This window comes from Homo sapiens, chromosome 4, assembly GCF_000001405.40.
Source record: "Homo sapiens chromosome 4, GRCh38.p14 Primary Assembly".
NCBI classification, from domain to species: Eukaryota; Metazoa; Chordata; class Mammalia; order Primates; family Hominidae; genus Homo; species Homo sapiens.
In genome coordinates this window covers 7565054-7579583 of record NC_000004.12, presented here as the reverse complement: position 1 = coordinate 7579583, position 14530 = coordinate 7565054, and the positions used below count along the sequence as shown (strand labels likewise).

Here is a 14530-nt window from a genome sequence, read left to right as displayed (position 1 = left end):
CAGGCCCTACAAGATGAGTAGAATCCAGGAGAGCAGCCAAAGGAGGTCGGAGGACCAAGGGGAGGGTTCCAGTCCTGGCTCCTCCACTTGATGGCCATGGAATCTTGGGGGAGAATCAGTTCTCTGAGCCTCAGTTTGCTCAGCTATACATGGATTTAATAACACCTACCTCCTAATACTGTGAGACTATGATGATATTGCACACAGGTGCGTGCACACACACACACGGGTGGGTGTGGCCTAGCCCAGCGCATGGGATTTTGTAGGTACTCAGCTACTCAGTATATGGTTATTATGAAATAGAATTAAAATAATCATAATAATACAAATATATATTAAAATGATCCATGCATCATTATTTATGGATGGGAAAAATAACGACAGATTAAGAGACTTTCTCATTGAAGAAACACAAAAGTATGTGATATAGCCTAGGAACCAAGGCAGCCCCAAGTGTGAGTCTGGGGATTGATGGGTTTGTGTTGGGGGTAGCTAGAGAGAGGACATGTGGGCATTACCAGCCTCCATAAATACTGAAATGAAATTATAGCCATCTGCCCATTCACACATCCCAGTCTGTGAGATGCACAGACTTGTGTGCAGGGGGCATCATGGGAAGACAAGTGGAAGCTCCCTGACATCCACCCACAGCCAGACCTCGGAAGTAGTGAGAAGTAGTAAACTTAGGGATAAGGTGGGCTTCTATCCAGCAAACAGAAAGGTTTCAATCACTAACATTTGCAGAAATGAAATTGAGTAGAATTCCAAAACTGGGAGAAACCACAAGATCAAATCCTCCGTGTGTTTTATTTTACAGATGGGGAAACTGAGTCCCAGAGAGGTCATGTGACCTGTCAAAGCCGTCAAGTCGGGGTGGGAACAAGCCTGTCATGAAACTGGAACTGCAGCCCAGGCGGCCTGCCCCAGCTGCGCAGGCACTCAACACTCATTCTCGGCTTTGTTTGCCATTAGACACACTTTACATGTAAAAGAAGTAAACGTTCCCTTGAGCAAATGATCAAAATTAAGGAAACTCATCAACTGGCTCAGGCTTAGCAGGACAAATTAACTGGAAGTAATTGTGATGGATAATTTGGTTGTAATTCACAGGGACAGACAAGAGCTGCTGGCAGGTGACCAGAAAAACTTTCAAAGGACTTTAGGTCAAGAGTCCCTTCATTTGCCCACCTGACTTCACCTGTCTGCCCACCTGTCTTAGTCCATTTTGTGTTGCCATAAACAGAATATCTGACACCGGGTAATTTATTAAGGAAAGTGATTTATTTGGCTCATGATTATGGTGACTGGAAAATCCAAGATCAGGCAGCCCATCTGGTAAGGGTCTCAGGCTACTTCAACTCATGGTGGAAATAGAAGTAGAAATGATCGTTCGCAAAGAGACCAAACATGAAAGGTACAACCTGCTCTCGTGGTAACCAATCTGGTTCTGAGAGAGCAAGAACTCAATCCTGAGAGGACATTAATCTATTCATGAGGGATCCATCCTCATGAGCCTAACATCTCCCACTAGGCCTCCCTCCCAACATGGCCACTTTGGTCACCAAATTTCAACACGAGTTTTGGCAGGGACAAATAATCTCCAAACCATGGCACTAGCTGACTTCGCCAGTATGCTATATGACTTCTCCAAACCATGGCACTAGCTGACTTCGCCTGTATGCTATATGACCTCCAAACCATGGCACTAGCTGACTTCGCCTATATGCTATATAACTTCTCCAAACAATGGCACTAGCTGACTTCGCCTGTATGCTATATAACTTCCCCAAACCATGGCACTAGCTGACTTCACCTGTATGCTATATGACTTCTCCAAACCATGGCACTAGCTGACTTCGCCTGTATGCTATATAACTTCTCCAAACCATGGCACTAGCTGACCTCACCTGTATGCTATATGACTTCTCCAAACCATGGCACTAGCTGACTTCGCCTGTATGCTATATGACTTCTCCAAACCATGGCACTAGCTGACTTCGCCTGTATGCTATATAACTTCTCCAAACCATCCACTAGCTGACTTCGCCTGTATGCTATATAACTTCTCCAAACCATGGCACTAGCTGACTTCACCTGTATGCTACATAACTTCTCCAAACCATGGCACTAGCTGACTTCGCCTGTATGCTATATGACTTCTCCAAACCATGGCACTAGCTGACTTCGCCTGTATGCTATATGACTCCATCTGTACACCCACCTGACTATACCTGTATCACCTGACTTCACCTGTCTGCCCACCTGGCTTTACCTGTCTACCCACCTGCCTTCACCTGTCTCCCCACCAGGGAACTGGTGCTGAGAGATGTGCCATGTCTTTAAGGAACCCTCTCCTTATTTCCATCAGTTTCATCCTCTCTCCCCTCCCTGCTCTGGACAAACCTCACACTCCCTTATGTGGACCCACCTCCAGCTCACACCCTCCACATGAGCGTTCTTGTCACAGCAGCTGTGATCTCTCTAAAACAGGAACTCAACTCTGACAGGACTGTGCCTAAACCTCTCCTTGCCGAATTCTAATAAACATGGCAGAGGGGTGGCCAGAAGACCACATCTGTCCTCATGGGGATTCAACAACCATGACATTTCACGTGAATATCCACCCTGCTCATTTCCCATGCAATCTCAGAAGACTGCGATAACCCGGCCCCATTTCCAGATGGTAAAATTGAATAGAACTGAGTTGCTGTGGTCCGCTGGGTGGGGCACGCATGAGTTCATGTGCCATGAGCCAGGCTGGCTCCAGTTCTTACAGCACCTGTCTGGCCCCTGTGGCCGCTTGAGCAGGCAGCCCTTTGCTGTCTATGACAGACTCTCAACCCCCTACCATGGCATTCCAGGAACCTCCCCGCCCACAGTAGCTTCGTTTTCCACATTCCATTCTCCCTCACCACCTCTCCACGTCCACACCTTCCACATGTGTCCCTCTGTCACCACGTCTTAGATCAACAGGCCTTTGAGCACCAGCTCTTTGGGTCTTTTCCCAGCCAACTCCTATTCATTCCTCAATACCCAACACAAATGTCACCTTTTGTAGTAAGATGCACACAGGGGTGAATCCAACCCCTTCTCAGTCCCACAGGGCTTGGCTCTAGCAGGCACTCGATGGCTGTTGTGACTTGCTTTGTCGTTTCCTATCGCTTTCTTTTCCTAAATCCAAAGATATGCTATTAGTTAATGGAATCAGCTCATTTTTGAAAATGGTCTTCTAAAAGTGATTGCTGGAAGGGTGCTCTTATCTTTAGGATGCAATTGCTCATTAGTAGATCCCTACTGACTTTTGACTTTACACAGCCAACCCACGCCTCCCGATGACTCCCGGGGCCAGGAAACATGGCTTTGTCTTTGCTGGAACAGCAATTCAGCTGAGCACATGGCTTTGGTCAGAAGGAGAATGTTAGTGGTGTTGACCTTTCTCTCCCTCGCACGCTAATTAATCCTGCTTTCTAAGAACACTCTGCCATTGGAGCTCTTCCTCGTCCTCACACACACAGCTGTGCACCAGTTGCTGAAGTCTTGTTTGTTCACTGATATGTGACATCTCCTAGAAAGCTGACAGTCCCAACTTCATCAATTCAAGAATCAACCGACCCTTTCAAAAAACTAATTTCTTAATTATGAACTCAGATCATTCAGTTGTCAAATTACTGAACAGAAACAGAAACAACAGATAATTCACCTTCCTTCGCCCACTACAAATATTGGACCCTAAACCTCTCATAGCCAGACACAGACCTTCTCCTGGGTTCAACTTGGAAAAGAAGAAACAACAAGAACATCTGTTAACCTCTCTGATCCTGATGCGTAAACACACCGGTCAGCACTAAGCCATGGGTAAACAAGGACACAGGAGCAAGTGTCCAGTCCAGCGGCTCCCAGCCACGTGTGGTCATCAAGCCTTCAAAGTGTGACTGGGGTACTACCATTCTAGTTTCAATTAATTTAAATTTAATTTTAAAAACTGATACTTGGCACTGTTATTGCGAAACTTAAGTGTCTTTGGAACAATGTGCGTATGTGAACCTACTTTTACAACTGTCAATGTTATGAAATCTAAATATAGAACAAGTAATTCCCAATAAAAATGTAGCAGTTGAATTCAGAGCTATATGCATCTATACATATAGATGCAGCTAAATTATACACTGGATTTCAAAGGCTTAGTATGGAAAAAAGGACATAAAAGATCTCAAAAATTTTCACATTAATTATTTGTTGACATGATAATATTTTGGATATACTGGGTTAAATAAAATATACTGCTAAAATCAACTTTGGCTGTTTCTCCTTACTTTTTGAATAGGGTTAATGAACATTAAAATTACACACACGGCTCGTATATTTCTGTGGAACTGAGCCCAGAGAGTGCCAGGATGGGTGAAGTAGGAGGAGAGTCTCATCTGAGGACTGAACAGGCTGCGGCCAGGTTCTAGGGATGCCGGTTATGGCAATGAAGCCCAGAGGGCCACGTGGAGCCCCAGTCCTCCCACCGCCAGTCCCCCGATCTTCACCAAGTGTCCTCATAGCAGAGACCCTCTCATATTCTGAAGATATCTCTCTGTCCCCTTCACTGAGGTGAGACAATGGGGCTCTCAGGCATCTGGAGTGCTCTTGCAGGAGGGCCCAGGAGTCGGGACATGGCGACTTTTCTGCCCTGCAGAATGGGCGGTGTAAAGAGGAGCTGGGCTAACAGACACAGAGGCCTTGCTCAGTGGCTCCTTCACTCAAGTCATCCCTGGGGACAGCATGCCACACGGCATCTTTCAGATGAATGAGGCAGCCCCACAGATGCAGTCAGAGGAGCCGCCCTTCCTCCTGCTCATGGGGGTTGACCTAAAAGGCCCTGCCCTGGTGACTTCCTTATGATTTTTCACTCTGATTCCTCAGTAAATACTCAGCCATCTCCTCTCTCTCCCTCCCTTCCTCCCTTCTCTCCTTCCTTCCTTCCTCCCTCCTTGCCTCCCTGCCTCTCTCCCTCCCTCCTTCCCCTCTCTTCCTCCTTCCCCCTGTCTCTCTCCTTTAACGAGGCATGGTCCCACCTGCTGCGCTGACCTGACATTCTGCATAACACACACGTAGCTGAAACGGCAGGCAATCCCATGCCAAGCAAGGCAGGGGCGAGAGCTGGAAGAACACGTCATCACTCTCTAAGACATGGCTGTAAACAACTCCCTGTTTTCTATGTTAAAAAATGCACTTGGCTGTAAACAGGCAAGCTGTTCTCAGGGAGTACCTCTCTTCACTGCAGTCCATCTCTGTGACAGGGGAAGCCAGTCATCAAGGTGATCCCGTGGGAGAAGGGACCACACCCTCGCTGCACCTCACCTCCGAGGGTGGGGAACACAGTCCCGTCCTGGGGCCGCAAAGGCGCACGGGACCCAACCCGCTTCTCTGAGCTGATGCTCGAGCTTCTGGGGGGAACTGACTGAGAACAAGGAAACATACAAATAAGGCAATTTCTAAAATGACAAATGCTGTGAAGAGAATAAAGCAATGCCAAAGGGCTCAGGAGAAACGAGGAGGAGGGGACGGTTCTAGACGGTGCACAAGGGCTGCCTTCTGAGAAGGTGACATTCAGGAAGAGCCAAGGATTTCTGGGACCAAGTACCCTGAGTGGACGCGTGTGCCAGCAGGAATGGGCCTGCTGCTTCCCAAGCACAGCGAGGAGGCCAGGGAGGCAGTGGGCGCAGGACAGCCACTTGAAATTCACCCTGCATGGGGAGCCCCTGAAGTTAAGGACTGAAGCCACAGGGTCCACTGTGTACCCTAAAGATGCACAAAGGGGAGTAGCCTGGCAGGGGCTCTGGCCTCTGGCCCCTAGTCCTATGTGCTGTGTAAAGATTTTTCCCCTTCACCCCTCCTTTTGTCCTAATTCCTTAAAGCAGAGTGCGGTGGTGCATGCCTGTAATCCCAGCTACTCAGGGGGCTGAGGCAGGAGAATCACTTGAGCCTGGGAGGCAGAGGTTGCAGTGAGCCGAGATTGCACCATTGCACTTCAGCCTGGGCGACAGAGCGAGATGCTGTCTCAAAAACAAAAAACAAGAAACAAACAAACAAAAAATCAGAACACACCAAGAAACTAATAGAACTCTATTTATGCCTCTATTTTATCTGAAAAATAAGGAAACCTTTGCCTTTACTTTTACTTAGGAACCAGACTGACATTGGCACCGTCTACCTGCATTGCCACACAGTAACCGAGGTCTTGCCACTGGGACCTGTCAACATTTGTATGCAAAGGGATGTCTCTGGAGTGGCTAATTTTATGAAGACAACACCTTTCAATAGGAGACTTTTGAAATGAGTTGGATATCATGCCGCAGGGATCTTGTGTGCTTGTTGAAGTTGGAGGAGTATCTTATAAACAATATGCTTTCAAGAGCTGTTGAACTCAAAGGTGGATTGCGCATTTTTCTTTTACCAAAAGACGCAAGTTCTGAATGGGAATTGAAGGCAGGCTGTTCTCATGTCTGCCACTCACCTTACATTTTCAAAAAGCAGCAACACACGCAGCTTGTCCATTCAAGATCAACAGCCACTTTGATAATAAGTGAGAAAAAGCTCTCCTTTCCAAAGGGATTTAGACTATGACGGGGCACTTTAGAAATGGATGTTTGGAAATATTTCCAATGTTATGAAATGTTGTCCGTCGCTTATAAAATCTCTCAAACGTGCAGTCCTTAAAATCCTGGAAATAAAAATTTCTTAACCTCTTTAAAAGTCTTCCAAACCAAGGGGCTTCAGATGTGTTAGCCAATGTGTTAAAAACATTAAAAATGCAACACCTTTCAGTGAGTTTGCAAGAAAATTGATTGACAATTGATGGAGCTGTAGCAGCTGAACTTCAACATAAAATTTTGCAGTCCTGTTAAATGAAATTGAAAAATGATGCTGATGATTTAGGAAGTGATGGTAACAAGCCCTTCCTCCCACATACCCTACACATCTTTGTGCAGAATGCTTTTCATCTTTGAAGGCCACGAGCATCAAGTATTGAAGCAAACTAACATGGGCTAAGTCTTGCTGTAGCACAAAGAATGAAAGTTCTCAAAAAACAAGACAGTGTTGAATATCTTATTGCTCTCACTAATATGCCTTAATATTACAGTTTAAATTCCAAAAAAAATTCACGTAAAGAAACTTACGTTTAAATGATTAAACGTAAATGATTAAATGATTTCATCTTGAGCTCATTTAAAAAAATGTGTAAACTGTGTGTATGTTTACAAAGATTATACTAGCAGAGTATGTTAATATCATATATATATATGTAAATAAAGAAACAGTAGGGGTGCATATCCCATATTTTTTAGTAATGGGGAAAGTGACTGAAAAAGCTTGGGGCCTCAGCCTCAGCTTTGGACGCCCTGTGCTATTGTCTTGCACCTTGTATATTTGGCCCCAAGGAAGACCCAGCTCACAGGGAACTGAGGAGCTTCAAGACCAGGAGGCTGCTTGAATTTCACGGAGCATGAGATGGCAGAGAGAAGATGAGGATGCTTTGATCAAACCCAGCAGCTGCCCCCAGACATACGTAGGGGCAAAGCACAGACTGTCAGGTTCTTCCTGCAGGCCCAGGATGGAGCCTGGTGCCTGGAGGACAGGCAGCTGGTAGGGCACGTTTGCTGAGTTGAGCGGATGACACTGTCAGCAGCTAAGTGTCAGCTCTGGCACCGCGAGGGGGGTCGACAAGTCCCAGGAAGCTAACGAGCTGGACTTGTTACTGGGATGTGTTTGTCCTTTTTCATCGCTGATGATAATCACCATGATTAACACTGAATGACGTCCATAATTCAACGTCGCTTGGTGCTGAGGCTTTGAAGCTGCTGGCCTTGGCCCCTTTTCCTGGTGACATGCTCTGCTAGCACAGGCCCCCAATTTCTTCGGGCTCCCTCCCTCTCGGCCCCAGTCCCTGCCTCAGCCCTCCTCCACTTGCTCAGGGAATGGGCAGACCACCTCTGCCCACTGTCACCTCCTCCAGGAAGCCTTCCATGACCCACTTTCCATTTCTCATAGTAGTCCCACGGGACTGCCCAGGTAGAATTTTGCGGGTCCCTCATCTCATCCCCTGAGTCTACCCCACCCACACGGGGCATGGCCAGAGCTATTCTCATCAAACACTGGGGGAGTGAACTCAATTTCCCGTCCCCAACCCATCCAGGGTCCTGCCATGTGGTTTCCCACCTCTGAGTCTTTGCCCTTGTCATACCCACCACCCAGGATGCCCTTTCCCTTCTTCTCCACCGGGCACAGGGGTCCTGCTTCTCCAGCCAGCCCTCTGCTAAGGCTGGGCCATGTCTGGCTAGACTCTGTGGTTGCAGCACCCAATACAAGGCTTGGCCCAGGGGCGATGCGCAGAGAGCATCTGCGGAAAAACCTAACGAGTAAATGCTGCCCAGGTTCACTGCATTCTTTCTGTTTCTTGAACAAACACCAGCATGAGAGGTGTCCAGGGCTGGGGGCTGCTGTAACTGCTTATTTTACTAAATCCAGGACGCTCCAGCTGGGGAGATGGGGACAGTGTGATGGGGTTCTCACTAAAGCCACAGGCAGGGATTTCCTTGGAGAGTGGCTGCGCCTCTGAAGTCTCCCTGGGCTGCCATGGGCTGGAAAAGGGGCAGAACAGCAAAGCCAACAGCCAGGAGACTCGGCCCCTCCCCCAGCTTGTTGGATGACAATGAACTCATGGTGTTATTTTCTCAAATTCATAGCTGTCACCCTCCCACCCCCATCCCCTGCCAATAGTTGAGGCCTGGACCCTGGCTTCGGGCACTGATTAAAACCCTCCCCTCTGGATGAGAACTGGGGGTTCCTGGAGATGAAAAGGCTTGCTGACAGGACATGGCAGATGGGGTCTGGCAGGGAGGGAAGGGGACAAAAGCAGAACCAGGAAGCCACTTTCCAAGTCACAATGCCTCCCTGGGCACTCTCACTTCAACCCTGGGCCCCACCTCCCATTTCCATGGGCACCGCCCTCTATGCAGGGTGGCGGATCTACAGGGCGGTGTGGGAGGCAGGTGGGAGCAGATTGGCTTCCCTTTGAAAACAGTGACATGCAGATGGGGACACACACCAAGGTCCTGTTAGCTGCTGGGGGCGCCTCCAGCCTGCAGGGCAGAGCACCCAGCGAACCCTCAGTGACTAGTGACAGGGCCCACCCGGAAGCAGCCTCTGGCAGCGGGAGTGGGAGGGTCTGCGTCCCAGGAGGCCCTAGCGAGGAGGCACCGTCATGAGTGGAGGTTGCCTCGAGGCTGTGAGTACAAAGTGGGACACAGGCTCAGCGGCCTGCCTGTGCCTGGGCTCCACCGGCCTCTGCTTTATGGGCCTATAAATCGGAACTCCACAGCAGACGGGCTGCGTTCTAATCCATCACTCACTACCCTCCCCTCCGCAGCCACTGAAATCCAAAATAATGAATCTCCTCGCTCCCCTCTCCGGCTCTATCAATAACACCTTAGACCAAGCAATTAGCATTTAGAGCCAGGATCCGATTTATGGGGGCCCTGCTCTCAGCTGCAGTGGATTGCATCTCCTCCCCTTGAAAACGCTGGGAGCCCTCGTCCCCTGCCCAGGAGAGCTGAAGAACAAAGCACCTCATCCAGCCGCTACCAGAGCAGCCCTGAGTGTCTCTAAAAGCCACATCCACAGGGGTGGGGAGGAGGAAGTTCCGGAGAGGCCACATCCACCCAGTGGCTCCGAAGGACATTTATTTGGGCTGAGGACACTTAGTGCCTCACAGTTTTGCAGAAGCATCTATTTCACACTGCACCTCACTGCATTCATCAGACGTGTGTTGTGTATACATGTACATGTTGTATTATATGTGTAGAGAAGACGTGCACCCATATGCAGACGGCCCCGCCCTGTGGTGGCTGGACTTATGATTCCACGTCCTGATAAACCCATGGCGAAGTCACGGAGCATCTGCACCCGTGCCCTCCACACACACATGTTCTCTGCACATAGGATAGGCTATTGTAAAATGGGCATATTGTACACACACAGCACTATCCTCCTCCTTCTGTAGATATTTCTTTTTTCTTTTTTGCGACGGAGTCTTGCCCTGTCTGTCCCCCAGGCTGGAGTGAAGTAATGCGATCTCAGCTCACCGCAACCTCCGCCTCCCAGGTTCAAGCAATTCTCCTGCCCCAGCCTCCCAAGTAGCTGGGATTACAGGTGTGCCCCACCATGCCCAGCTAATTTTTTGTATCTTTAGTAGAGACGGGGTTTCACCATGTTGGCCAGGCTGGTCTCAAACTCCTGACCTTGTGATCTGCCCACCTCAGCCTCCCAAAGTGCTGGGATTACAGGCATGAGCCACCACACCCAGCCTCTGTGGATATTTCTAAAGGCTCTTCAAGGCACAGGCCTTCTCACCTCTCACTTCCTGCCGTAATCACTTCTGCCTGGGAGGTGGCCCAAGAGCTGGGCAACAGCAATGGCACAGTCCTGGAAAACACCCTGGAAATGGAAGCAGCTTCCAGAGCTCCTGTAGCTTGCCACACAGCTACTGATACAGACATCCCCAAGAAACACAGATCCCTGATAGGATGGCAGGAGTTGACACAGATCCAAGAGAGGTGAGGTGGGAGTTCTGAGCCAAGGTAGAGTCCAGCCTTGGGGAGCTGTTCCCATACCACCTTTGAGATTCTGAGGAATAGGCCTAGGAATGGTTTACATCTTGTGCCATGCTCATCTCTGACCCCTACGGGAAGAGATGAACTAGATCAGTCACTTTCCACGGAATTCCTTCCCACTACCTTGTAATTGCAATAGACTTCTACTGGATAGCACTATGGTTCCCAAACTGTGGGTTGAGCATCCTAGCCATAGTCAACTCACAGGAACCTGGTGGGATATTTTAAGTTTTTGAGGGAAACACAGTGACCAACATTTCTTGGATCCTGCACCAATTACCAGTCAGGTTGTTCACGGTTTCCACCTTAGATCATGCCACATCCCTCTCAGTGATACCAACTCTTTGCAAAGTCAGGTTTTTGGTGGTCGCTGTGATAAAAAGGAAAATCAATGTGGAACATGAAATGAGGATGGAAGCATCTAACTGAGTCTGGTTCCAAGGTCTGGAGAGAGTATGTAGCACATCGCAAGTGCACAGCCTGTCATTAAGCAGTGGTGAAGAATGAAAGAAAAACACTATTTTCCTTTTGATTTATGTGTACCATTTTAAAAGAATACCTACGCTATTAGGTATCAGGACATAAATACTTATGCTATTAGGACATAGATACTTGCTAACTTGTTTGAACCTAATTGCTTCACAAGTGAAGCTTTTAGGTTTTGGTTGTTGCTGTTGTTTCTTGTTTGGCCTAGGTGTGCTGTGAAAGATTTTTGAGCCACGAAGGGCACTGTGAGCTGAGAAAGTTTTGGAACCTCTGGTGTAGTGGGGATAATTAGGGATGTTGCCTAGCATCTTGACCTTGGTTTCTAATACCATTCTCCAATAAAAGCAGTCAGAGCTCCTTGGAGAAATGGTTGATGCTTGGACTGGGTAGGAAATATATCAGATGAGCCTGGAGCATCTTGTAGCGCCAGAAAGCAAGGACGTGCTCATAAACAAAATAAAAATTACAGTGATCGGAATATGTCAAAGAGACACAGCAGCCAACTGAAAGTGCTCCCAATGACCAAAGCTGGAATGGCTTAAACAATAAAATAAGGTACTATTGGATTATAGCTGAAAGGAGAAAATAAATATTCATGAGTTCATCCTCATATAAATACATGATTAAATAAATAAATGGGGGGAAGAGACACACCTCCCATGCAGAGGAATTCCAAATAATTTATGCAGGTCCTCTGCTCTCAAGGGGAGGGAGACTCACTCCTTAAACATGGGCTGCCCATAGCAACCTTCTTCCAAAGAGGGCAGTGTGCAAAGGGCGCCAAAGAGAAACTCTATGGTGGAGAAGCCTGGCAAACATCCCTCAGCCAGTGACAAGGGTCAGTGTCAACAGTGGTAAGTCCTGTTGGCAGGGTGTGGCCTTGGTGTGATGCGATGGGGACAGCACTGCACCTCTGTGGTCTTCCTCCCAGGAATAATCCCAGTGCAATCATGAGGAAAACACTATACAAATTCCAACAGAGGAACATTCTTTAAAAAACACCTGACCAGCACTCTTCAAAAATGTCAAAGTTATCACAAACAAGGGAAGTCTGAGAAACTGTCACAGCCAGGCGGAGCCGAAGCAGACATAATGACTACATGTAACGTGGAGTCCTGGGTGGGATCCTGAGATCGATGAAGGCATTAGGTAAAGACTAAGGAAATCTGAATACAGTTTGCACTTGTAACATTAACGCATCCATATTGGTTCCTTAGTCATGACAAATGTACATACCAATGTCAGATGTTAATAACAGGAAATTGTGGGCAAGGGATATAGGAACTCTATACTACCTTCACAGGTTTTCTGTAAACCTAAAACAGTTATAAAATTTTAAACTATTTTAAAATGCACTTGAAAAATAAATACAAAAATAAATAGGGGTGTTGGAGTCAGTAGACCTATGTCCAAATCTAAGTTCAGGTCCTTCCTAACTGGGTGACAGAGAGCACTCACCCAATACTCATGTGCCCCCTCTGCATTTCCCAGCATCCACTAAGGTAAGCCAGGCCATGTGACTAGCTCTAGCCAGTTGTAAGCATTCACCAGATACCCATGTGCCCCCTCTGCATTTCCCAGCATCCACTAAGGTAAGACAGGCCATGTGACTAGCTCTAGCCAGTTGTAAGCATTCACCAGATACCCATGTGCCCCCTCTGCATTTCCCAGCATCCACTAAGGTAAGCCAGGCCATGTGACTAGCTCTAGCCAGTTGGCTGTGAGCAAGAGCAATGCACGTCACTTCCTAAGGGAGCTCAGAACCAGAGTGTCTCCTCCAAGCCAAAGGGGGGACCACCCACAGGCCTGGGGCTTCCCTGAGTGAGAAGTGATCTTGTGTTGTGTTGAACAACTGAGATTTGGGGTTTTGCTTGTCACTGCAGCTGGTATGAATTATTCCAACTCTAACCTGCTGTGTGGCCTCTGATAGTCAGTTTCCTCATCTGTAAAGTGGTGGTAAAAATAAGAATGTTATGTGGCATCCATTAGAGGCTCAGTAAATATTAACTGTGATGGCCATCACTATCTTCATCATCAATCCGTCATCTTCATCTTCAGCAGCAGCAGTAGCAGAGTCATCATCATCATCATCACCTCATCATCACATCATCACCATCACCATTATCACCATCATCACCATCACCATTAACACATTATCATCATCTCTATCACCATTATCACTATCATCACCATCACCATTAACACATTATCATCATCTCTGTCATCATCACCACCATCACCATCACCATTATCAATATCACTACCATCACCATCACCAATATCACATTATCATCTCTATCATCACCACCATCATCACCATCACCATTACCATTATCACATTATCATCATCTCTGTCATCATTACCGTCATCACCATCATCATCATCACCATCGCCATCATCACTATCATTATCACCATCATCACCATCATTATCACCATCATCACCATTACCATTATCATCACCATCATCACAGCATCACCATCACTACCATCACCATCATCACTATCATTGCCATCATCACCATCACCACCATAATCACTATCACCACCATCATCATCTCCATCATCACATCATCACCATCATCACCATCATCACCATCACCATCATCATCACCATTGCCATCATCACATCATCACCATCATCATCATATCCATCATCACATCATCACCACCGACACCATCACCATCACTTTCACATCATCATCATCATCACCATCACAGCACCATCACCACCGTCATCATCATAAACATCACCATCATCACATCATCAGCATCATCACATCATCACCATAAAAATCACCATCATCACCATCATTATCATCATTATATCATCATCATTACCATCACCATCATCACTTCATCACCATCATCATCGTGATTGGTATCATCATCATCACGTCACCATCATCTTCTTTATCATAATCATCATCTTTATCATCATTATGCTAATCATATTTTCCTAATCATTTTCATCATCATTATTATAGCATCATCATATCATCCTAATCACTATGATCTCCTTTATCATCATCTTCATCTTCATAATTCTAATCACCATACTACTATCAGCACAATATCACCATCTGCATTATCCTCATCATCTTCTGGTCAGGATGGAACCCACAGCTTTTATTCCAAGAGCAGAATAATCCTCTCACTTCTGAGCCCAGGAGCAGGGTGGGAGTTTCTGTCTCAGGGTCAGCCGGGGAAGTTGTTTGGAAACAGTACTTCTTCAGGGACTAGTCATTTATTTTTAAAATCATGTCTTATCGATCCTCGGTCAGAGGAAACAAACGCAGCCTGAGCGAGTGGAGTCTCCACAGAATCCAGAAATGCCAGGAAGCCCTTGCTCCCCCTCCCTCTGAGCACCTTTGGCTCGAGGTAGC

At 47.2% G+C, this 14530-nt stretch overlaps 1 protein-coding gene across 8 annotated transcripts in view, besides 2 other annotated features; it reads right to left on the bottom strand.

The window, feature by feature from the left end:
- SORCS2 (sortilin related VPS10 domain containing receptor 2) overlaps positions 1-14530 on the bottom strand; it is a 550290-nt gene that overhangs the window by 163244 nt on the left and 372516 nt on the right. The gene's annotated exons all lie outside the window — the stretch shown is intronic.
- Positions 8068-8622: an enhancer, noted in NCBI's record as "H3K4me1 hESC enhancer chr4:7572689-7573243 (GRCh37/hg19 assembly coordinates)". NCBI's record gives its function as "activates a minimal SCP1, AML or CMV promoter by ChIP-STARR-seq in primed H9 embryonic stem cells {active_cell/tissue: H9 hESC(primed)}" and the evidence as "EXISTENCE:reporter gene assay evidence [ECO:0000049][PMID:30033119]".
- Positions 8623-9176: an enhancer, noted in NCBI's record as "H3K4me1 hESC enhancer chr4:7572135-7572688 (GRCh37/hg19 assembly coordinates)". NCBI's record gives its function as "activates a minimal SCP1, AML or CMV promoter by ChIP-STARR-seq in naive and primed H9 embryonic stem cells {active_cell/tissue: H9 hESC(naive and primed)}" and the evidence as "EXISTENCE:reporter gene assay evidence [ECO:0000049][PMID:30033119]".